The 23,898-nt window shown below is 41.7% G+C and overlaps 1 long non-coding RNA gene and 1 pseudogene across 1 annotated transcript in view, besides 3 other annotated features; one reads left to right on the forward strand and one right to left on the reverse strand.

The window, feature by feature from the left end:
• LINC00501 (long intergenic non-protein coding RNA 501) overlaps positions 1 to 23,898 on the forward strand; it is a 28,994-nt gene that overhangs the window by 583 nt on the left and 4,513 nt on the right. The gene's annotated exons all lie outside the window — the stretch shown is intronic.
• ASS1P7 (argininosuccinate synthetase 1 pseudogene 7) lies at positions 1,899 to 3,464 on the reverse strand (annotated as a pseudogene).
• Positions 5,160 to 5,249: an enhancer, noted in NCBI's record as "active region_20838". NCBI's record gives its function as "activates an Ori minimal core promoter by ATAC-STARR-seq in GM12878 lymphoblastoid cells {active_cell/tissue: GM12878}" and the evidence as "EXISTENCE:reporter gene assay evidence [ECO:0000049][PMID:35858748]".
• Positions 10,344 to 10,544: a silencer, noted in NCBI's record as "peak4933 fragment used in MPRA reporter construct". NCBI's record gives its function as "represses an SCP1 promoter by STARR-seq MPRAs in K562 erythroleukemia cells {active_cell/tissue: K562}" and the evidence as "EXISTENCE:reporter gene assay evidence [ECO:0000049][PMID:32103011]".
• Positions 23,072 to 23,121: a silencer, noted in NCBI's record as "silent region_14906". NCBI's record gives its function as "represses an Ori minimal core promoter by ATAC-STARR-seq in GM12878 lymphoblastoid cells {active_cell/tissue: GM12878}" and the evidence as "EXISTENCE:reporter gene assay evidence [ECO:0000049][PMID:35858748]".

Genomic DNA, 23,898 nt, shown 5'->3' on the forward strand with positions numbered 1-23,898 from the left:
TGCACGGCTACATATTAATGGAAACTCCACAGGTCAGTACCTCCAAATCTTCCCCATCTCACATCAAGAATGGCACAGGTTTGTTCTTCAGCTCCTTTTTTAAGGGTAAGACTGGTTAGAAAAGGTCTATAAGGAAATAACTCATGACCTGGAGGAAGAGGAGACATTGTTGTGCCTGGACTATTTCCTTATAAGACAATTGACAATGAGATAAGGATGAGGGCTTGGGCTGGACTTCAAACTCCCACGACCTAGCCGGTTACCTTCCCAGGAAGGTGTATCTGCAGATGTCTCAACTCCTCCTCCAGGAGGGAGGGAGAGTAAATAAAGGTGTGGGAAAGAAAAGCAACAACTCTAGGAATTAAAAGGAGGAATTAGTTGGTAGGAATTGTTTGGTTCCCAGGTAGGTGTTGGGTGTAGCCAGGCCTCCACACCTACACATTAACACACTGATAGGCAACTATAGAACCAGATATCACTTCTTTAGGAATTTGGTGACTTGGGCTGTTTCAATTTTCTCTAATCATGTCCTTTTACTTTTTTTTTTTTTTCTGAGATGGAGTTTTGCTCTTGTTGCCCAGGCTGGTGTGCAATGGCACGATCTTAGCTCACTGCAACCTCTGCCTCCCGGGTTCAAGCGATTCCCCTGCCTCAGCCTCCTGAGTAGCTGGGATTACAGGCATGCACCACCACGCTTGGCTAATTTTGTACTTTTAGTAGAGACAGGGTTTCTCTGTGTTGGTCAGGCTGGTCTCAAACTCCCTACCTCAGTTTATCCATCAGCCTCGGCCTCCCAAAGTGCTGGGATTACAGGTGTGAGCCACCACGCCCGGCCAGAGCATTTTTAAGCTCACAGCAAAATTGAGAGAAAGGTACAGAGATTTTCCATATACTCCCTTCCCATACACATGCATAGCCTCGTCCATTATCAACATCCCCTACCATAGTGGAACAGTAGTTCCCGTCGACGGACCTGCATTGACACACTGTTGTTACCCAAAGTTCACAGTTGCATATGAGGGTGTTGTACATTCTATGGGATTGGAGAAATGCATGACATGCCTTGAATTATTGAACATTATTGAATTATACAGATTATTTTCACTGCCCTAAAAATTCTCTGTGCTATGCCTGTTTATCCTCCCCCTAATCCCCAAGACCTGACAACCACTAACCTTTTTATTGTCTCCATAGTTTTGCCTTTCTCAGAATGTCATATAGTTGGAATCATACAATACATAGCCTTTTCAGATGGTGTTTTTCACTTAGTAATATGCATTTAAGTTTCCTCCATATCTTCTCATGCTTGATAGCTCATTTCTGGTTAGAGCTACTTAATGTTCCATTGTCTAGATGTACCAGAGTTTGTTTATCTATTCACCTACTGAAAGACATCTTGGCAGGGCTTAGTGGCTCACACCTGTAATCCCAGCACTTTGGGAGGCCAAGGCAGGCAGATCACCATAGGTCAGGAGTTCGAGACCAGCCTGGCCAAGATGGTGATGCTACTTGGGAGTCTGAGGCAGGAGAATCGCTTGAACCTGGGAGGCAGAGGTTGCAGTGAGCCAAGTTCTTGTGTGGACATAAATTTTCAGTTCATTTGGGTAACTACCAAAGAGCATGACAGCTGGAGTGTATGGTAAGAATATGTTTAGTTTTGTTGGAAACTGCAAACTGTCTTCCAAAGTGGCTGTACCAATTTGCATTTCCACCAGCAGTGAATGAGAGTCCTCTTGCTCCACATCCTTGGCAGTATTTGGTGTTTTCAGCCTTCCAGGTTTTGTTCATTGTAATAAGTGCGTATCTCATTGTTGTTTTAATTTGTATTTCCCTGATGACATATGATGTGGAGCATCTTTCATATGCTTATTTTCCTGTAAATCTTCTTCCTTTTTAAATGTATATTTTTAAAATTGTCATTTTATAGCTCCCCACTGCAGCTGCCCCCAACCCTTCCCTTCGCTGACCACTTTTGCAGGCTTCATGGGGGACCAGGGAACAAGGCTGGAGCCTGGCAGCCTTACTACGCTACCAGCCAGGGAGAACAAGTAGCAATTAGAAATTATTACAACAATTAGTGCCCGTACTTGGGGGCTCTGCAAAGTGAGGAGGCCCCAGCTCCTCATTGTACAGGGGTCTATTTGGCAGTGACCTTGTTCTGGACACGGTGATATTCCTTCAGCCTGAGGGAATTGATGTTGATGAACCCGGTGGCATCGATTGGCTCCTAATGGTCCTGCACATTCATGTTCACCAGCTCCTCATTGTAGAGAGACAGTGGGGAGTCCTAGCGGAGGATGTACACCTGGCCCTTGAGGACAGACACCTGCACTTTCCCTTCCACTCATTCCTGGGACTTGGTGATGCAGTGGCGGACACGTTCACATTCAGGGCTGTGCCAGAAACCGGTGTACACCAGCTCAGCCAATTTCAAGTCCAGGCCTTGTTTGATTTTGCACACTTACTGGTCCATGGTGAAGGCCTCAATGTCTAAATGAGCGTGGTAAAGGATGGTGTCTGCTGGGGTCTCGTAGATACCTCGGGACCTCATTCCAATGAAGCGGTTATCCATGATGTCAATAGAGCCAACACGGTGCTTGCCCGCGACTTCGTTCAGGTACACGAAGAGCTCCAAGGAGGTCTGGTGGATGGTGCCATCCTTGATGTTGGTCACCTTCACTGGGACCCCTTTTGTGAACTCGATCTTGAGAATGTCAGGGGTGTTGGGGCTTTGGCTGGGTCCTGGGTCTTCGTGCAGCAACCTGGAGGCGCTTGGTTCTTGGGGCTCTCCAGGATTCCAGCCTCATAGCTGATGTGCATGAGGTTCTCATCCATGCTCCACGGGTTCTTGGGAGTGACTGGGATGGGAATCCCGTGTGGCTTTGCATATTCCATCAGATCGTTGAGGCACTTGATCCGATTGTAGAACTCGAACATGCACCAGGGAGCAATGACCTTTATCTGGGGGGGCCAGCGAGTAGCAGGTGAGCTGAACCGGGCCTGATCATTGCCCTTTCCCGTGGTGCCATGGGACACACACTTGGCCCCCTCCTGCTGGGTGATTTCTACTTGTTTGTGGGCGATGCAGGGCCTGGGGAGAGAGCTGCCCAGGAGGTGGTCCTCATACAGTGTACTGGACTGGATGGCCAGCCAGATGAACTCCTCCACAAACTCTCTGCTGACATCCTCAGTGAACACCTTTTTGGCCCCGGGCTTCAGTGCCTGGCTTCCTTGAAGTCTTCCTTCTGGCCGATGTTGCCCAGGTAGGCAATGATGTCATTGCCTTGTTCCTTCAGCCACACAAAGATGCAGGAGGTGTCCAGGCTGCCACTGTAGGCCAGAACCATGGAGCCTCTGCTGGACACAGCGTCTGGGATTGGAGGCGTGAGTTCCCAGCGTCTGGAATCTGTCTTCACAGCTCAGTGAACCACTTGGGCCCGGGCAGTGGTGGCAGGTGATAGAGCCTAAATCTTCTTTAGTGATGCATCTGCTAAAGTCCTTGGTTCATTTTATTTTGTGTTTTAAAATTTTTGTGGGTGCATAGTAGGTGTATATATTTATGAGATACATGAGATATTTTGATACAGGTATACAATTCATAATAATCATATCAGTTAAATGGGGTATCATCACATCAAGCATTTATCCTTTCTTTGTTTTACAAACAATCCAATTATTATTTTTTATTTTTAAATTTTTATTTATTATTTATTTATTTTTTGAGATGGAGTTTCGCTCTTGTTGCCCAGGCCAGAGTGCAATGGTGTGATCTTGGCTCACTGCAACCTCTGCCTCCTGGGTTCAAGTGATTGTCCTGCCTCACCTCCCGAGTAGCTGGGATTACAGGCATGAGCTACCACGTCTGGCTAATTTTGTATTTTTAGTAGAGATGGGGTTTCTCCATGTTGGTCAGGCTGGTCTCGAACTCCTGACCTCAGGTGATCCGCTCGCCTCGGCCTCCCAAAGTGCTGGGATTACAGGTGTGAGCCACCATGCCCTGCCTATTTATTTATTTTTTGAGAATGAGTCTCACTTTGTCACCTAGGCTGGAGTGCAGTGGCAAGATCTTGGCTCACTGCAGTCTCTGCCTCCTAGATTCAAGTGATTCTCCTGCCTCAGCCTCCCAAGTAGCTGGAATTACAGGTGTGCGCCACCACACTCGGCTAATTTTTGTATTTTTAGTAGAGATGGGGTTTCACCATATTGGCCTGGCTGGTCTTGAACTCCTGACTTCAGGTGCTCCAGCTGCCTCGGCCTCCCAAAGTGCTGGGATTACAAGTGTGAACCACCACACCTGGCTTACAAACAATCAAACTATACTCTTAAGTTACTTTATAATTTTTATTTAGAAAACTTTTTTCTTTTTTATAGAGATGGGGTCTTGCTATGCTGCCCAGGCTGGTCTCAAACTCCTGGGCTCAAGTGAACTGCCCCTCTAGGCCTCCCAAAGTGCTGGGATTACAGACGTGAGCCACTGCGCCTGGCCTGAGAGTTCACATTTTTTTTCAGAGTGCCTGATAGAGTGCTATAAAGTGCATTTGTACGTTGCTTTTCCATCCTCTCAAAATAATAGAAGATAAAGATCCAGGCTGGGTGCGGTGGCTCACGCCTGTAATCCCAGCACTTTGGGAGGCCAAGGAGGGTGGATCACTTGAGATCAGGAGTTCAAGACCAGCCTGGCCAAGATGGTGAAACCCCCGTCTCTACTAAAAATACAAAAAATTAGCCAGGCGTGGTGGTGGGTGCCTGTGATCCCAGCTACTCGGGAGGCTGAGGCAGAGAACTGCTTGAACCTGGGAGGCAGAGGTTGCAGTGAGCCAAGATTATGCCACTGCACTCCAGCCTGAGAGACAGAGCGAGACTCTGTCTCAAAAAAAAAAGAAAAAGATAAAAAAGATCCAAAAGTGAATGTGAAAAAATCATCCCAGCAATTAAGGACCTGATATACATTTGGCACATCAGCTCCTGACACCAAAGTGGGGGGTGGCAAGTGTGCTGTCTAGCCTAACTCAGGATTAGAATTAGAGCCTGAGATTCTTGAGAGAATGCCCTTACTGGTAAGGACTGGTAAGCTCTGTGCTGATGACTCAAAGGATGGGCTCTGTGAGTGTAAGAGATTGGACTTGGACCTGTAGCCAGGACGCAGTATTTTCTTATCTTTAACTTCCACAAAGCTCATGTTTATTCTTCTCTCACAAAAGCCAAGCCTAAAGTGCGCTGCTGAAGGAGTTGTTCCTCTTTGGACAGCTGTGTGTGCCCTATAAATGCCCTCCTCAGATGGAGAAGGAGGAGCTGTGTGCATAGCGCTGTGAGCTGGACTGGAAAGCATTTCTGCAGCCCAGTGATACATGCAGAACTACACCCTCGAGAGCCACGGTTCAGTGAAGGGCTAGGAGGGTCTTGCATTCTGGTCATTCATTCACCCGGAAAGGCTCAGCACTATCTCGTGAACCTAGTTTCTGGGAAGTCAGGCAACCTGCTTGCACGTACAACTTGGTAAATGATATACTCTAAGGGCTCATAAAAATTAATCCAGATGCATGCTACAAAGCTGATACCATGAAATCATGAGCAGAGACCTCCTTTCTACTTGAGTCCAGAAAGAGCCAGGCTTTGTGTTGGTCTACATAGTACCGAGAAGGAAAGAGACTCTACTACCACTTTTCATTGTTGAAACTGTCCATTCTCAGCTCCCCTGGAAAGGGCCCTCACACTCCTGCCGTAGACACGAAAAAGGTAATAGATGCCGTGGAAGTGGGAAAAGTTGCCTTTGGAGAGGTTTCCAGAATGTTTTCTAATTTGATTGTCTTTCCAAGTCCCTTCTTTCAATTTAATGAAATAATTATTTTGAAAATAATAATAGCTACCATTTACCAAAGACCTAATACGTACCAATTTATTTACACATGTTGTCTGTTTAATTCTTGCCATCATGTACCATGTTCTGTGGCCATATGCCCTGGGAATCAGAAAGAAGAACTTGCCAAGGTCACACAGCCAGGAAATGAGAGTCAATATTCAAGCCTAGATTTCAAAGGGTCAGTATTTAAACCGAGGTTTCTATTCAGACCTAGAAATGAGAGTCAGTATTCAAACCTGCTACCATGGCCCACACTTATATGAATTCTGCCTCATTAAGATAATGTCTGGGTCATTTTTACTTATTTACTCTGGAGGTAAAATGGACTGCAGTCATGTATGTTTCAAGTGGGAGAAAGTAAAAGGCTTACTTTTTTTCCTTTTTTTTTGTTGAGACGGAGTCTCACTCTTGTCACCCAGGCTGGAGTGCAGTGGCATGATCTCGGCTCACCGCAACCTCTGCCTCCCGGGTTCAAGTGATTCTCCTGCCTCAGCCTCCTGAGTAGCTGGGACTACAGGCACACACCACCATGCCTGGCTAATTTTTGTATTGTTAGTAGATACGGGGTTTCACCATACTGGTCAGGCTGGTCTCGAACTCCTGACCTCAGGTGATCCACCTGCCTTGGCCTCCCAAAGTGCTGGGATTATAGGCATGAGCCAACGTGCCCAGCCAATTTTTTTCCTTTCTTCCTTCCTAAGATTCTCTAGCTCTCTTCCATTGAGAGAGAGTACAGGCAAAGGTGCATGAAATAATTTTGCATCATTTTTTTTGTAAGCACTGCATCAAATATTTGATAGCAATTAGATAGCTAGGGGGCAACTTGATATTTTTAGAAATTGAAAATTTATTTTAGAAAAACAAAGAACGGTTAGGTATATATTAGGTAATTTGCATTTTAGTGTCTAGCATTTTTTTTTTTAAACCGCTTAAATGTTTTAAAAAATAATTCAAACTGGCCAGGCACGGTGGCTCACGCCTGTAATCCTAGAACTTTGGGAGGCTGAGGCGGGTGGATTGCCTGAGCTCAGGAGTTCGAGACCAGCCTGGGCAACAATGGTGAAACCCTGTCTCTACTAAAATACAAAAAATCAGCTGGGCGTGGCGGTGTGTGCCTGTAGTCCCAGCTACTCGGGAGGCTGCGGCAGGAGAATCGCTTGAAACCAGGAGGCGGAGGTTGCAGTGAGCCAAGATCATGCCACTGCACTCCAGCCTGGGCAACAGAGCGAGACTCCGTCTCAAAAAAAAAAAAAAAAAAAAAAAATTCAAACTATTTAGGAAAGTAAAAATGAAAAGTAAATGTGAATCACCTAAAATACCACCACCTAGACACTGCCACAGTTAACACCGAAGGGACTTGCCTCTTTCTATGCATGCACTCAAATAGTGATATTGTATAAAAATGTCATCATGGCCTAAGTACTGTTTCTCAATAAAAACTGTTGAATTCAGTAGAAGAAAAATAAAATGAAACATAACTGGAGGAATTGTTGGACTTCAAAAAAAAATGTTTCTCCTCCCCAAGAAATATTTCCTAAATTATCCCTCTAAAGTTATAAAAGAGGTTGTGAAGAACATTTAAAAGTATTTTCCAGCTGGGCGTGGTGGCTCACCCCTATAATCTCAGCACTTTGGGAAGTCGAGGCGGGCGGATCACCTGAAGTCAGGAGTTCAAGACCAGCCTGGCCAACATGGCGAAACCCCATTTCTACTAAAAATACAAAAATTAGCCAGGTGTGGTGGTGCATGCCTGTAATCCCAGCCACTCAGGAGGCTGAGGCAGGAGAATTGCTTGAACCTGGGAGGCGGAGGTTGCAGTGAGCCGAGATAGTGCCACTGCACTCCAGCCTGGGTGACAAAGTGAGACTGTGTCTCAAAAAAATAAAATAAAATAAAATAAAATAAATAATTTTAAAAATAAAAATATTTTCCCCTCAATTTTAGGTAGTATAAAGTGTGAACATTAATACTCTTCCATCTTCTCTTTGCCCGTCTTCACTGGCTGTTAGTTATATTATTTTCAAGTTATCCAGATTTACAGTGTTTACTTTCTGTAATCATAGTTTTCATTGTTTTAGTATAACTTCTTGGTTTAAGTGGAAGTGTTGTTCCCCACCAGTCTTTGTACCATAGCTTCTCTGATCTTTACTTTGATTCACCTTTTATTTGTTTAGATTTCATTGTCACATATTTTTTCAAGAAGGGCACTTCAGTGATATTCCTAGTTCTTTTATGTTTAAAACTATCTGTTATGGTCTTTATACTAGAAAGATGCCATGACTGAATCTGTGCTCCGGAGTCACAGTTTCTTTTCTTATTTATTATTATTATTATTTTTTTGAGACGGGGTCTTGCTTTGTTGCCCAGGCTGGAGTGCAGTGGTGCGATCTTGGCTCACTGCAGCCTCCGCCTCCCAGGTTCAAGTAATTCTCCCACCTCAGCCTCTTGAGTAGCTGGGATTACAGGCGCACCACCACACCCGGCTAATTTTTGTATTTTTAGTAGAAACGGGGTTTCACCACGTTGACCAGGCTGTTCCCGAGCTCCTGACCTTAGGTGATCCACCCTCCTCAGCCTCCCAAAGTGCTGTGATTACAGGCGTGAGCCACCGTGCCTGGCCACCGTTTCTTTTCATTAGAATTTGTGAATGTGTCTCTAGTTTCTGCCATTGTATGTTACTAGGAATACCTGGGAAGCCAGTCTGATTTTTTTTCACCTTTGTATATATGTGCTAGTCAGGGTTCTCCAGAGAAACAGAACCAATAGGATGTGCATGTGTGTGCCTCTGTGTGTAATTTATTATAAGGAATTGGCTTATGCAACTATGAAAGCTGAGAAATCTCAAGACCTGGAGGCAGCAAGCTGGAGTCCCAGGAGAGCCAGTCTGAGTCTGAATCTGGAGTCCCGAGAACCAAGAGAACTGATGGTTCTAATAGTTCGGTCTAAATGCTAGCATGCTTGACACCCAGGAAGAACCATTGTTTTAGACCAAGTCGCAAGGCTAGAAAAGCTCTTGTAACCAGGCAGAAAGAATTCTCTTTTCTTCAGCCTTTTTGTTCTAGTCATGTCTTCAGTTGATTATTTACATTGGGGAGTGCAATCTGCTTTACTCGGTCTATAAATTGAAATGTGAATCTCACCCAGAAACATTTTGACAGACACACCCAGAATAATGTTTGAGCAGATGTTTGGGCACCTCATGGCCCAGTCAAGTTGACACATAAAATTAACCATTACAGTGGGCGATGTGCTTTCCTGGACATCTAAAGAATTCTTTCTTTGTACTTGATGTTCAGTGGTTACTAACTAAGGTAGTTTCTATATTGAGCATTCTATATACAATTTTCTTGGAACCGATTTGCATATCCAGATTTTTTTCCTTCACTTGGGGTGAGAGTGTGGAAATTTTTCTACTATTGTATCTTTCACCACAGCTTCTGGTGCATTTGTAGTTTCTCTAGCACAGAGAAGCCAACGATTATTAGTTGGAATTTTGATCCTTTATTTTTCCTTAATTTATTAGCATTATTTTTATTCTACTTGAATTCATATTTTATGCTTTATGATTTTATATTCAGTGGTATCTATTCTTCCTTGCCATGTTCTAGCTTACTGATTAGTCCTATGATGATATAGTTTCAGTCACATCTTTTTAATCTCATTCTGTGGTTTTATCATCTTCTCTTTGAGCTCACACTTTATTGAATTAATAGTCTCATTAATGTATGTTATGGCATGAAGCAAATTTTAATAATTTCCTTGGGATCTTTTTTTTTTTTTTTTTTTTTTTTGAGACGAAGTTTTGCTGTTGTCCCCCAGGCTGGAGTGCAATGGCACAATCTCGGCTCACTGCAACCTTCACCTCCTGGGTTCAAGCGATTCTCCTGCCTCAGCCTCCTGAGTAGCTGGGATTACAGGCGCCTGCCACCACGCCCGGCTAATTTTTGTATTTTTAGTAGAGAAGGGGTTTCACCATATTGGCCAAGCTAGTCTCGAACTCCTGACCTCAGATGATCCACCCACCTCGGCCTCCCAAAGTGCTGGGATTATAGGCGTGAGCCACCGCATCCGGCCTCCTTCTGATCTTTAAGTTGATTTTTCTTCAAGGTCTTTTCTGTCATTCCCTTTTTCCTCCCTCCCTCCCTCCCTCCCTCTTTCTCTCTCTCTTCTTTCCTTGTTTCTTTTCCTATAGTATGTTTTCAGAGCTTCCATTACATTTATTTTCATTTTTTTCCTGCTTGGTCAATTCTGTTCAGACTTGACTCTGTTATGATGTGGAAGACTTCTTGACTTGATTCCCACTGTATTCAATGTGGTTTTCCCTTGGCCAAGGGTTTGAATCTCAGTACTTTTTCTTCTGTTTATTTTAAGAAGCTAATATGACTTTGGGGGAGCTGAACTGAGGGTTAATAGCTGAGTTAAACCAGCTCTCTCTTGCTCCTCTCAGATTGTTGTCTTCCTTTCCCTAATCATTGCTTTTGGAAACACAGCATTAGGTCACACCCTTTTTCTTGTTGAGTTGTCTTTGGTGGATCCATGCCTAGGAGTTCTTAAATCTATGTTTTGCTCACGTTTCATTTCCTTTCATGTTTTCAGAAGTCTTAACCCAGAAATAGGAATCGTATGAGAGGAAACTGAAGAATTTGACTTGCATTTAAGTTAAAACAACTTTAAAAAAATTCAGGAAGCACCATCTCAAGGAAACTGTATTATACAGGGAAAGAGAACTGGACTGAGCATCAGATAACCTTAAATCCTAGCCCCAGCTGTAGTATATATAGCTGAAACTATTGAAGAGATATATATATGTGTGTGTGTGTGTGTGTGTATATATATATATTCCTTCAAAGAAGTGACTTCTCAGTTGCAAAATGAGTATCTACCATGACTACTTCATAGAGCTATTGTAAGCGTCAAATTAAATAATTAAATGAAAGGACTTTGTAAATAGCAAAGTAATATTCAATATAAGGTGTTGTCATTATTTTATTATGATTGTTATTACTAAATCTTTCCTTGTAGAAGATCATCATAAAGATGGTTAGATGAGAAGTTCTTTTTTTTTTTTTTTTTGAGACAAGAGTCTTGCTCTGTCACCAGGCTGGAGTGCAGCGGTGCAATCTCGACTCACTGCAACCTTCACCTCCCAGATTCAAGCAATTCTCCTGCCTCAGCCTCCCGAGTAGCTGAGATTACAGGTGCCTGCCGCCGCGCCTGGCTAATTTTTGTATTTTTAGTAGAGACAGAGTTTCACCATGTTGGCCTCGTGATCCACCCACTTTGGCCTCCCAAAGTGTTGGGATTACAGGCGTGAGCCACTGTGCCCGGCAGAGAAGTTCTTAGGAAGGGGGTTTAACAAGGTGAGGGGCGTAGCTTTCTGATTAAGTTACAAGTTTTCCCAAGCATTTACATTTTCCCTGTCCCTAGTCTAATAGAGAGAGGGATTGTGCCTAGTTTGAAAAATGTTTTTAGCTTATTCTGTATTCATCTCTCATCTCCCTTGAGAATTAATAGGTTTAGACATTTATGCACCTAAAGACAGATGACTAAGTTTCTCATATAACTGTATGTTGTTGTACATGTTGGCTAAGTGCCCAAGTAATTCTTGCATTACAAAAGAGTTAATAGTATTAATCATACTTTAATATTTTTATGATTCATTTTGGATTTCAAGAGATTTGCACTGTTGTTTTTAATTTTGATTACGATTCTTTTCAAAACATAGGCATGAAAAATATTTTCTCTACTGACCTGAAAGAGAAGAAATATGGAAGCTTGGACCACAAGATTCAGTAGTGAAATTTGTTTATAATACTACTTAAAACTGAAGCATTCAAACAAAATGATTTATTTGCTTATGAGTTTTATTTTGAAAACAAAAACTAAATTTTTATTCAGTCTATATAGCATTACTGAATTTTGTAATCCTTCCATTTTAAATATGCATATTTTAAAAAAGCAATTGACACATGGGTCTAGGTGACATACCCTCATACATGCTAAGAATTAAAATAAGGCTGGGCGTGGTGGCTCACATCTGTAATTCCAGCACTTTGGGAGGCCAAGGCAGGTGGATTACAAGGTCAGGAGTTCGAGACCAGCCTTGCCAACATGGTGAAACCTCGTCTCTACTAAAAATACAAAAATTAGCCGGGCGTGGTGGCATGCACCTGTAATCCCAGCTACTTGGGAGGCTGAGGCAGGAGAATTGCTTAAACCTGGGAGATGGAGGTTGTAGTGAGCTGAGATCACACCACTGCACTCCAGCCTGGGGGACAGAGCAAGACCTCGTCTCAAAAAAAAGAAGAGTAAAATACAAAAGTAAAATACACTCATTGATATCATTGATTTTGCATTCCACTTCATTCATGCTTTTAAAATATTCTTGGTCTGGTAGAAGCAGTGCTTAATTGAAGAGTTTTAAAAAGAAACCATTTATATAGTGTCTATAATTTTAATTTTAGTTTATAAATTGATTATTCTGCTTTTGCATTCATTTAGCCTACTGTAATAAAAATTTTATAAAATAATTATTGCTGTGTAACTTTGAAACTCAATTACAGCTGCAGAAATGGAGTACTGAGATACCAAGTCGGGGAGCAAACAGTTGTAAATATCAGCTTGAGATGGAGTGCTGGTACAGAATGTAAGATTACATTTACATGTAGAAAATGGCAGTTTCAGTGTACACAGGTTTGGCTCTGCTGCCATCCTAAGTCATACCTGTGTTAATGAAATGGTCTTCTCAACTCAGCATTAGGCAAGACTTAAGTTTTTACCATAGAAACATTATTCCTACTGCTGTAGTTCAGCGAACCGTCCACTGAGATTTATAGCGAAGTTCTAAGGTATATTTTGGCTGTGTTTGTTTTTAGGACTCATGTTATTTTGAAATAAATTTATCATATTAGTTGGAAGTGTGTCTCTTCTAGATCTATTTTCTTTACTACTTATCAGCATAATCATTTCAAATCTCGGGTAGAGATTGAAAATTGAGCATTTGATTTCAATATACTATATGAAAGGCCATTACACAGAATTTACTGCACTGTTTTTGCACCATTAGCACAAAAAAAGAAAAAAAGGGTGAAAGAGGCCTCTTGAGAAGAATTAGATATTTCCATTTGGCAGTATATGCAGGGTGTGGTGTTTTTATTCACTAAAACTAATAAATTATTTTTATTTCAAATTCAGCCTATTTCCCGGGTTGTTTTCATGTATCACGAACACAAAAAATGGCCAATATATATTAAGGAATACCAGTGCTAACGTATCTTAGTGGAAATATCCGATCAAATACCCAATATTTCCTTTAATCTTGGGTAAAAAAGTTGATTTGTGGTTAAATTTGTCAAGATAGACACAGTGTGCTTTTCTGACTTTTTTTACTTCACTCTTATTCTGATTCAACAACTGATATTTTACATATGCTTACAACATTTTTCTATTCTCAATAGCATGGTGAAGTTAATTCTGAATAAAGACACCTAGAGTTTCATCACAGATCGATAACTTGTGTGTGACACTTAATCTTTATGTCCTCAATTCCCATCTGAGAAAGGAGAAATTCTGGGGTGGGGGTGGGTCACACAAAGGTTCTCCGAGAGCCACTCTTGGCTCAGGAACCACTCAGGGAAGCCTGGCCAAGTAAAAATCTAGGTTCTTCCACTCCCATTTTAGCCAAAGCAGTTTTACTTTTTTTATTTTTATTTTTTATTTTTTGAGACGGAGTTTTGCTTTATGACCGAGGCTGGATTGCAATGGATGTGAACTCAGCTCACTGCAGCCTCCGCCTCCCAGGTTCAAGCGATTCTCCTGCCTCAGCCTCCTGAGTAGCTGGGATTACAGGCATCCACCACCATGCCCAGCTAATGTTTTGTATTTTTAGTGGAGACAGAGTTTCACCATGTTGGCCAGGCTGGTCTTGAACTCCTGGCCTCAGGTGATCTGCCCACCTTGGCCTCCCAAAGTGCTGGGATTACAGGTGTGAGCCACTGCACCCAGCCAGCAGTTTTACTTTTATCTGTTTATTATATTCAACTTAACAATAAGGTTCTGTATATAGAAAAGGTTTGATTGAGAAAAAAAATAAAACCTTAAAACCCACTGTTCTGGTGATGTATTGCTGTGTGACGCATTTCTCCAAAACTTAGTGGCTAAAAAGAAAACTTAGTGGGTCATAATGGTTCTTTGGGCTGATTTGGCTTAGCTGGGTGGATATCCCCTGAGGTCTCTCCTAGAGTCGTAATCAGACAGTGAATGGGGCTGGAGTCATCTGAAGGCTCAACTGGGTTGAACATCCAAGATTACCTAATCACTTACAAGTTTGACACCTGGGCAATTCAAGATACTGGAGTCATGGAGATGAGTTAGAAGCCTTTTTCTCCCACCCCAAAATCCGCTTTACTGAGGTATAATTGACATACAACAAATTGCACATATTTAGAGTGCACATCTTGATAAGGTTTGCATATGTATGTACCCAAGTAACAATCATCACCAATATTAAGAAAATGAATACATCTATCACCCCCCAAAAGGTTTCCTTATGTTATTTTGTGATGCCTCCTCCTTCTCCCACCCCAGGCAACAACTTATCTGCCCCTTGTCACTAGAGATTAGATTGCATTTTCTAGAATTTTATATAAATGAAATTATATAGTAACTACGCTTTCTTTTTGATTTGGCTCATTTCAGTCAGCATAATTATTTTAAGATTCACCTATGTTGTTGCATGTGTCAACAATTCATTCCTTCTTATTGCTGAGTAGTATTTTGTTATATGGATGCACTTCACTTTGTTTACCCATTCATGTATTGATGGACATTTGGATTGATTCCAGTTTTTGGCTATTACAAATAAAGTTGTTATAAGAATCCATATGCTGGGCCGGGCGCAGTGGCTCACGCCTGTAATCCTAGCACTTTGGGAGGCCAAGGTGGGTGGATCATGAGGTCAGGAGATTGAGACCATCCTGACAAACACAGTGAAACCCCATCTCTACTAAAAATACAAAAAATTAGCCGGGTGTGGTGGCGGGTGCCTGTAGTCCCAGCTACTCAGGAGGCTAAGGCAGGGAGAATGGCGGGAACCCGGGAGGCCGAGCTTGCAGTGAGCCGTGATCATGCCACTGCACTCCATCCTGGGTGACAGAGTGAGACTCCGTCTCAAAAAATAAAAAATAAATCCATATGCAAAACATATGTTTTTATTTTTTATTTGTATGAACATGTGTTTTTAATTTTTATTTTTGGATATACCTAGGAATGGAATGGCTAAGTCAATGGTACATATATGTGGAACATTTTATGAATCTGTTGAATTACTTTTAAAGGTGTTTGTACAATTTTACATTCTAACCAGCACACACATTGGATTTTTTTTTTTTTTTTTTTGAGATGGAGTCTCGCTCTGTCGCCCAGGCCGGACTGCGGACTGCAGTGGCGCAATCTCGGCTCACTGCAAGCTCCGCTTCCCGGGTTCACGCCTCTCCTGCCTCAGCCTCCCGAGTAGCTGGGACTACAGGCGCCCGCTACCGCACCCGGCTAATTTTTTGTATTTTTAGTAGAGACGGGGTTTCACCTTGTTAGCCAGGATGGTCTCGATCTCCTGACCTCATGATCCACCCGCCTCGGCCTCCCAAAGTGCTGGGATTACAGGCGTGAGCCACCGCGCCCGGCCCACACATTGGATTTTGTCAAATGATCTTTCTACATTTATTGAGATGATCTTTTTGCTTATTTGTTAGTTAGTATGCTGAATTACATTGATTGATTTTCAAGTGTTAAACCAGCCTTGCATTCCTGAGATAAACTCCACTTGGTCATGAGGTATTATCTTTCTCATATATTTTTGGTTTCAATTGGTTAAATTTTTTTTTTTAATTTTGCTTATGAAGGAGTTTTGTCTGTAATTTTCTTTTCTTGTAATATTATTTTCTAATATTGATAATGGAGTAATTCTGGCCTCATAGAAGAAGTTGAGAAGCATTTCCTCCTTTTCAATTTTTGTAGAGACTTTGTGTTGAATTATTATTTCTTTCTTAAGTGTTTGGTAAACTTCACTCATGACGCCATCTGGGACTGGAGTTTTCTTGTTTGGAAGGTCTTTAACTACAAATTTAATTTGTTTATGAGATAATGGAATATTCAAGTTATTTTCTCTTAAGTAAGCTGTGATAGTTGGTGTCTTTCAAGGCATTTGTCCAGTTCATTTAAATTGTCAAATTTATTAGCATAAAATTGTTCAAATATTCATTTTAACCTCATTCCTGATATGGTAATTTCTTTCTTCTCTATTTCCTGATCAATTTTTCTAGATGTTTATCAATTTTATTGATTTTTTTAAAGGAACCAACTTTGGTTTCACTATTTTTTCTCCTTTCTTTTTTAAAAATCTCATTTATATCTATCTATCTATCTATATATTTTTTTTGAGATGGAATCTTGGTCTCTCGCCCAGACTGGAGTGCAGTGGCACCATCTTGGCTCACTGCAACCTCTGCCTCCCGGGTTCAAGTGATTCTCCTGCCTCAGCCTCCTGAGTAGCTGGGACTACAGGTGCATGCCACCATGCCCAGCTGATTTTTTGTGTTTTTAGTAGAGATGAGGTTTCACAGTGTTAGCCAGGATCATCTGGATCTTCTGACCTCATGATCCACCTGCCTCAGCCTCCCAAAGTGCTGGGATTACAGGCATGAGCCACCATGCCCGGCCTTATCTACTAAATCTATCATCTATGTGAATATTGGGTCAATTTTGATTGATTGATTTTTGTATTTATCATGGGTCATCCTTTCCTGCTTCTTTTCTTTCCTTAGAACTTTTGGTTGGATGCCAGATGTGATTTTTTACCTTGTTGATTTTTTTTAAGCCTATAGAACCTGTATTCCCAGGTGGTCTTCTATCTAATTGTTGGATAATTTTATATTCCTATAAATATTTAGCTTTGTTCCAAGTTATGCCTAAATTGCTCATAAATTTAGATTATTTTGGGTATGGCTTTAAAACTTGCTGAGCCAGGAGCAAAGCAATGTTTAACCTGGGACTAGCTTTTCCCCATTACTGTGGCAAACCCTTTCTTGCCATAGTATTTTAACTGATGTTGTATGAATTATGAAGTTTACCAATCTGGTTAGTGGGCACAGGTGAGTTTTTCAGCTCTATATAGGATTATGGAATTGTACTCATTAATATTTTGAGTTGTTTATTTATTTATTTTTAACCTGGCCTCAGGTAATTTTCTCACTTGCATGTGGTGGTCAGTACTCAGCTGAGCATCAAGGGTTACCCTCTGAAGATTTCCAGAGCTCCAGCTCTTTTCTTTCTGACAATTTGCCCTAGTGAATTCTGGTTGCTTTGAATTTCTCACACTCACCATTTTGTCTCCTCAACTCAGGGAGACTGTCGGGCTCCACTTGGCTTTTCCCTCCCTGTGCCAAGCTGGGAAGCTTTCCTTAGGTACAAAGCTGGGGAAACCACAGAGCGCACCTTATTTGTTTTCCATCTCTCAGGGATCATTGTCCTTTGTTGCCTGATGACCAAGGTTTTGTGAACATTCTTTCATAGGTTTGTTCAGTTTTTTAGTTGTTTCATGAAGAACAATAAATTCAGTTACTGTTATTTCATCTGGGCCAGAAACAGAGCTCTGTTCAGCATCTTTCAAAATACTATTCTTTAGAGGAAAGGATGACCTGAATAGGATAAACCCATTGGTAACATAATAGATTATATAAACTTGAGGGATGTTTCATAGGCTCTGTGGGACTTGGTGTCTAACTAAGCATGGGCAGTGAGACGAAGTTTCCTACCCTCACGCCCACAGGGCTACGTCGATGGCAATGCGATTTTCTGAGATTAGGAGTCCATGGGGAAGAGGTGAGTTGGGTGGATGAGTTCCAAGTTTGTACATGGCCTGTGGATAATTTAGATGGAAATGATCAGGAAGCAGGTAGAAATATGGATCTGGAGTTTAGGAGAGAGGGGATGGCTATCACTATAGATTCTGGAAAAAAAATCTTCCAGGATAGTGCTTAATTGAGGAGAACTTTTTTTTTTTTTTTTTTTTTTCTCACGGAGTTTCTTTCTTTCGCCCAAGCTGGAGTGAAATGGGGCGATCTTGGCTCATTGCAACCTCCACCCTCCGTGTTCAAGTGATTCTCCTGCCTCAGCCTCCTGGAGAGCTGGGATTATAGGCGTCCGCCACCATGCCTGGCTAATTTTTTTTTTTTTTTAATTTTTTTTGACGGAGTCTCGTTCTGTTCCCAGGCTGGAGTGCTGTGGTGCGATCTCAGCTCACTGCAACCTCTGCCTCCCGGGTTCAAGCGATTCTCTTGCCTCCGCCTTCTGAGTCGCTGGGACTACGGGTGCCCGCCACCACACCTGGCTAATTTTTGTATTTTTAGTAGAGACGGGGTTTCTCCATGTTGGCCAGGCTGGTCTCAAACTCCTGACCTCTGGTGATCCGCCTGCCTTGGCCTCCCAAAGTGCTGGGATTACTGGCGTGAGCCACTGTGCCCTGCCTGCCTGGCTAATTTTTGTATTTTTAGTAGAGATAAGGTTTCACCGTGTTGGCCAGGATCGTCTCAAACTCCTGACCTCAGGTGATTTGCCTGCCTTGGCCTCCCACAGCGCTGCGATTACAGGCGCGAGCCACCGCTCCCGGCCTGAAGAGAACCATTTACCTCAAATTTCACAAATAAATTAAATGTGAATAACTTGGTAATGGAAACAATTACTTCTGCTGTGAAAGAATTTATTACTGTTACCACTGGGCTCTACTTGCTGCTGCTGTGTGTGTGTGTGTGTGTGTGTGTGTGTGTGTGTATCCACTTTCATCTCCCCTAATAAATTTTAGATTGGCAAGAAACAAAAACACAAAAATGTCAACCCTAAAGACTAATGCTTTTATAATATCCTATCGTATGATACAAACTAGCATCTAGAACTTTGCCTTAAAATTGTTACAATAGCCGGGCGCAGTGGCTCCTGCCTGTAATCCCAGCACTTTGGGAGGCTGAGGCGGGCGGATCACGAGGTCAGGAGATTGAGACCATCCTAGCCAACGTGGTGAAACCCCGTCTCTATTAAAAATAGAAAAATTAGCCGGGCGTGGAGGCGCGTGCCTGTAACCTCAGCTACTCGGGAGGCTGAGGCAGGAGAATCGCTTGAACCCAGGAAGCGGAGGTTGCAGTGAGCCAAGATTGTGCCACTGCACTCCAGCCTGGGCGACAGAGCCAGACTCCGTCTCAAAGCAAAAAATTGTTATAATAAAGAGTAGGCTAATGTTCTGCTTTTCTGCTTTTCTCCCAGTTTCTTTTCTTTTCCCTTTCTTTCTTTCTTTCTTTCTTTCTTTCTTTCTTTCTTTCTTTCTTTCTTTCTTTCTTTCTTTCTTTCTTTCCCTTTCTTTCTTTCTTTCTCTTTCTTTCTTTCTTTTCTTTTCTTTTCTTTTCTTTTTTTTTTTTTGAGACAGATTCTTGCTCTGTTACCCAGGCTGGAGTGCAGTGGCACGATCTCAGCTCACTGCAACCTCCATCTCCTGGGTTCAAGCGATTCTCCTGCCTCGGCCTCCTGAGTAGCTGGGATTACAGGCATGAGCCACCGCGCACGGCTAATTTTTGTATTTTTAGCAGAGACGGGGTTTCTCCCTGTTGGCCAGGCTGGTCTCTAACTCCTAACCTCAGGTGATCTGCTGCCTCGGTCTCCCAAAGTGCTGGGATTATAGGCATGAGCCACCGCACCTGGCCTTTTCTCCCAGTTTCTTTTCTTTTTCTTTTTTTTGAGAGGGAGTCTCGCTCCAGGCTGGAGTGCAGTGGTGCAATCTCGGCTCACTGCAAGCTCCGCCTCCCAGGTTCACGCCATTCTCCTGCCTCAGCCTCCCAAGTAGCTGGGACTACAGGCACCCGCCACCACACCCGGCTAATTTTTTGTATTTTTAGTAGAGACGGGGTTTCACCGTGTTAGCCAGGATGGTTTCAATCTCCTGACCTCGTGATCCGTCCGTCTCGGCCTCCCAAAGTGCTGGGATTACAGGCGTAAGCCACCACGCCCGGCCTTTTCTCCCAGTTTCTAAAACTGCATGTTTGCACACCAATGTAACATACAACAAACATTTTATAAGACTACTAAAAAATGGCAGTTTGTTAAAGTCTTTGATATATCATGTAGCTCTTGAAGTCATTGGAATTAAATGATAAATGATACTATTGTTAATATAAGTCTTATGATATTAGTCAAAACTTTGCTCAAGTTGAAACTTTTGGTATTATAAATTCTCACTTTCAGTATTATATGTTTCTTCAGTCAGTGGTTTGAAACTTGGGTCAAAAAGATGAGAAAATGTAGGGTAAGATGTATTCATTAAAATAACAGTTCAACAATTTATGCAGAAATTAAATGTGTTTAATTTAGATTACATGAGAACTTGGGTCAGTGTATTTCTATTATTAGAAGAAAAATCCAGAACATAGTACCATATATTCCCAGGCCACAAGAGCCAAGGATCATCTTACATCAAGTCTGCCCTGGTCATGTGGAAAATGATCATGTTTAAGACCATTTTATATTTTTAGGGATACAAAAAACTAAATATAGCAGAAAGGTTGATAGTCAGTGCTAAATAATATTCCTACATCTCACTTAGCATGCAGTGCAACTGACCTTCATCAGACCAAGTTCCCCCAAAATCACAATAATCTTTGTGATAATTGGGGGATTTTAGTTACTGAATGAGGACAGAGCCGATATATTGTTCCTTCAGCTCAATAGTATCTCCGGAACTTATTTTTATTTTTATTTATTTTATTTTATCTTATTTTTGAGACAGTGTAGTCTTGCTCTGTTGCCCAGGCTGGAGTGCAGTGGTGCAATCTTGGCTCACTGCAACCTCTGCCTCCCGGGTTCAAGCGATTCTCCTGCCTCAGCCTCCTGAGTAGCTGGGATTACAGATGTGTGCCACCACACCTGGCTAATTTTTTGTACTTTTAGTAGAGATGGGGTTTCACCATATTGTCCAGGCTGGTTTCAAACTCCTGACCTCAGGTGATCTGCCCACCTTGACTTCCCAAAGTGCTGGGATTACAGGCGTGAGCCACCACGCCCGGCCTCTGGAGCTTATTTTTAAAGATTAATTGTAAAACTTTAACGTAGGAAATGCCCTTTTGTAAGCAAGTTTATATCTACCATTCAAATTTAATAATTAGACTGAAAATAAACCAAATCCACTTATAGAGAGAAGCTCGATCTTATTTACAAATGGAACTACAGTGTCAGGCTCAATGACTGCATTTTGGAAAACATACAACTTAGGAGGATGTTGATTTCTTCTTAATTGACTTTTTTTTTTTTTTTTGCTGGGGGGCTTCTCAGTACTTCTAAACTATCAGTGCATGGTCCATGCAATTAGATTTTTAGCAACACAATTCACAAGAAAACTTAATTCTATTTTCTAGTAATTCACTTATTCTTTAGTTAAAAAATATGGGTTTATCTCTTATATACTCACAGCAAAGTCATTATCTCATGAAGTACTACCTTTTTTTGAGAACTGAAACTACCCCTTTTACTGAAATTTTAATAATTTAATTCACTTTGGATAAAAGTTATTCTAAAATGTACTATATAGTTTCTGGTTCTTTATAATATCATTAAAAAATAAAAAATAAGTCTGGGTGTGGTGGCTCATGCCTGTTATCTATGCCTGTTATCTAAGCACTTTGGGAGGCTGACGTGAGAGGATCACTTGAGTCCAGGAGTTCAAGACCAGCCTGGGCAACACAGGGAGACTTTGTCTCTAAAATAATAAAAATAAATAGGCCATGCATGGTGTTGCACACCTGTAGTTCCAGCTACTCAGGAGGCTGAGGTGGGAGGATCATTTGAGTTCAGTAGGTCAAGGCTGCAGTGACCTATGATTGCATCACTGCACTGCAGCCTGGGTGACCAAGTGAGACTCTGTCTCAATAATTAAAAAAAAAAAAGCCCGGGTACAGTGGCTCACACCTGTAATCCCAGCACTTTGGGAGGCCAAGGTAGGTGGATCACGAGGTCAGGAGTTCGAGACCAGCTTGGTCAATATGGTGAAACCCTGTCTCTACTAAAAATACAAAAATTAGCCAGGCATAGTGGCCTGTTTCTGTAGTTCAAGCTCCTCGGAAGGCTGAGTTAGGAGAATCACTTGAACCCGGGAGGTGGAGGTTGCAGTGAGCTGACACGCACTACTGCACTCTAGCCTGGGAGACAGAGAGAGAGTCTGTCTCAAAAAAATAAATTAAAATAAAATAATAATAAAACAAGTTCCTGAACCCCTGCCATATGAAAACTGATTCTATTTTTGTATTTTCTCAGACCTTGTGCCATATGGATGCAGTTGTAAAATAGAAATTATTTTAAAATACAATCGATATGATTTAATTACTGCAGAGTGGTTCCAGACATTGAATACTGTCTTAGTCCCTTTTCTGCTGCTATAACAGAATGCCACAGACCGAGTAATTTATAGAGAAAACATTATTTGGCTCATGGTTCTAGAGACTGGGAAGTCCAAGAGCATGGTGCTGACAGCTAGTGAGGTCTTTCTTGCTGCTTTATCCCATAGTGGAAAACATCACATGGTGAGCAGGCTCTCATCATGGAGAAGGGATATGGGGCCAAACTCATCCTTTTCTCAGGGGCCCACTCCCATGATAACTAATCCACTCCTGTGATAGTGGCATTCATTAATTCACTTATAAGGCATACCCTTATGACCTAATCATTTCTTAAAGGCGCCACTTCCCAACACTGTTACGGTGGCAATTAAATTTTCACGTGAGTTTTGAAGGGGATATTTAAAACCATAGCAAATATGAACACTATTTTTTAACAGGGCCTCTGATTTTTATTACAATTATGATATTACATTGGGAATACTACAAACACTATGGATTTTAATTCCAACAAGGCATTTGACAAGTCTCTTGGGATGGATAGACTTCTGGGCAAAATAAAAAAAAAATGTTGGTAAGATGAGAGTTCATTGGTGTATTCATAACTGCAGAAATGACCACAAGAGTCTGAAATTTCAAAATTAAAATAACATTGTATGCTTTCCCTTGATTAAAAAGATAACATAGGCTCGCCATAGACATTTTGGAAAACATAGCTAAGTACAAAAAAGAAAATGAAAGTCACAAGCAAACCCAAACCCAAACCCACATCTAACCACTCTTTTTTTTTTTTTTTTTTGAGACAGAGTCTCGCTCTATTGCCCAGGCTGGAGTGCGGTGGTGCGATCTTGGCTCACTGCAAGCTCCACCTCCCAGGTTCATGCCATTCGCCTGCCTCAGCCTCCTGAGTAGCTGGAACTACAGGCGCCTGCCATCACGCCCGGCTAATTTTTTGTATTTTTAGTAGAGACGGGGTTTCACCGTGTTAGCCAGGATGGTCTGGATCTCCTGACCTCATGATCCGCTTGCCTCGGCCTCCCAAAGTGCTGGGATTACAGGCGTGAGCCACCGCACCCGGTCCATAACCACTCTTAACATTTTTGTAGATATATTAATATTCTATTAAGTCATACGTTTCTCTTTTGGGTAAAAATTTTTTCTCTTAGTACATTCATGAATGTATTTTCATGTTACTAGTCATTCTTCCACAACATCATTTTAAATAAATGCATAGTTTTATCAGGTATAGGTACCCTAATATATTTAGCAAATCCTCTGTAGTTTTTCCTTTTTTTGGTTATTTAAATTAGGACTATATATTGACTTTTTCAAAGACCTTTTCAACACCTGTTAAGGTGATCAAATGGCTTTTCTCCTTTAACTTTTTGTCATGGTAAAATATTTTTGATGTCAAATCATTTTTGCATTTCTGGAAATCCCCTTATTTGGTTCTGGTGTTAATTATAGTTTGTTTTACTTATAGAAATTTCAAACATACTCCAGAGTCTAGAGAATGACATAGTGAATCCTATGTAACCTACGCCCAAATTCAGTAATTATCACTACTCTTGTTTCATCTGTTCTCTCCCTCTTCCCTTTTTGGTTGAGTATTTT

This window comes from Homo sapiens, chromosome 3 (genome assembly GCF_000001405.40).
Source record: "Homo sapiens chromosome 3, GRCh38.p14 Primary Assembly".
NCBI classification, from domain to species: domain Eukaryota; kingdom Metazoa; phylum Chordata; class Mammalia; order Primates; family Hominidae; genus Homo; species Homo sapiens.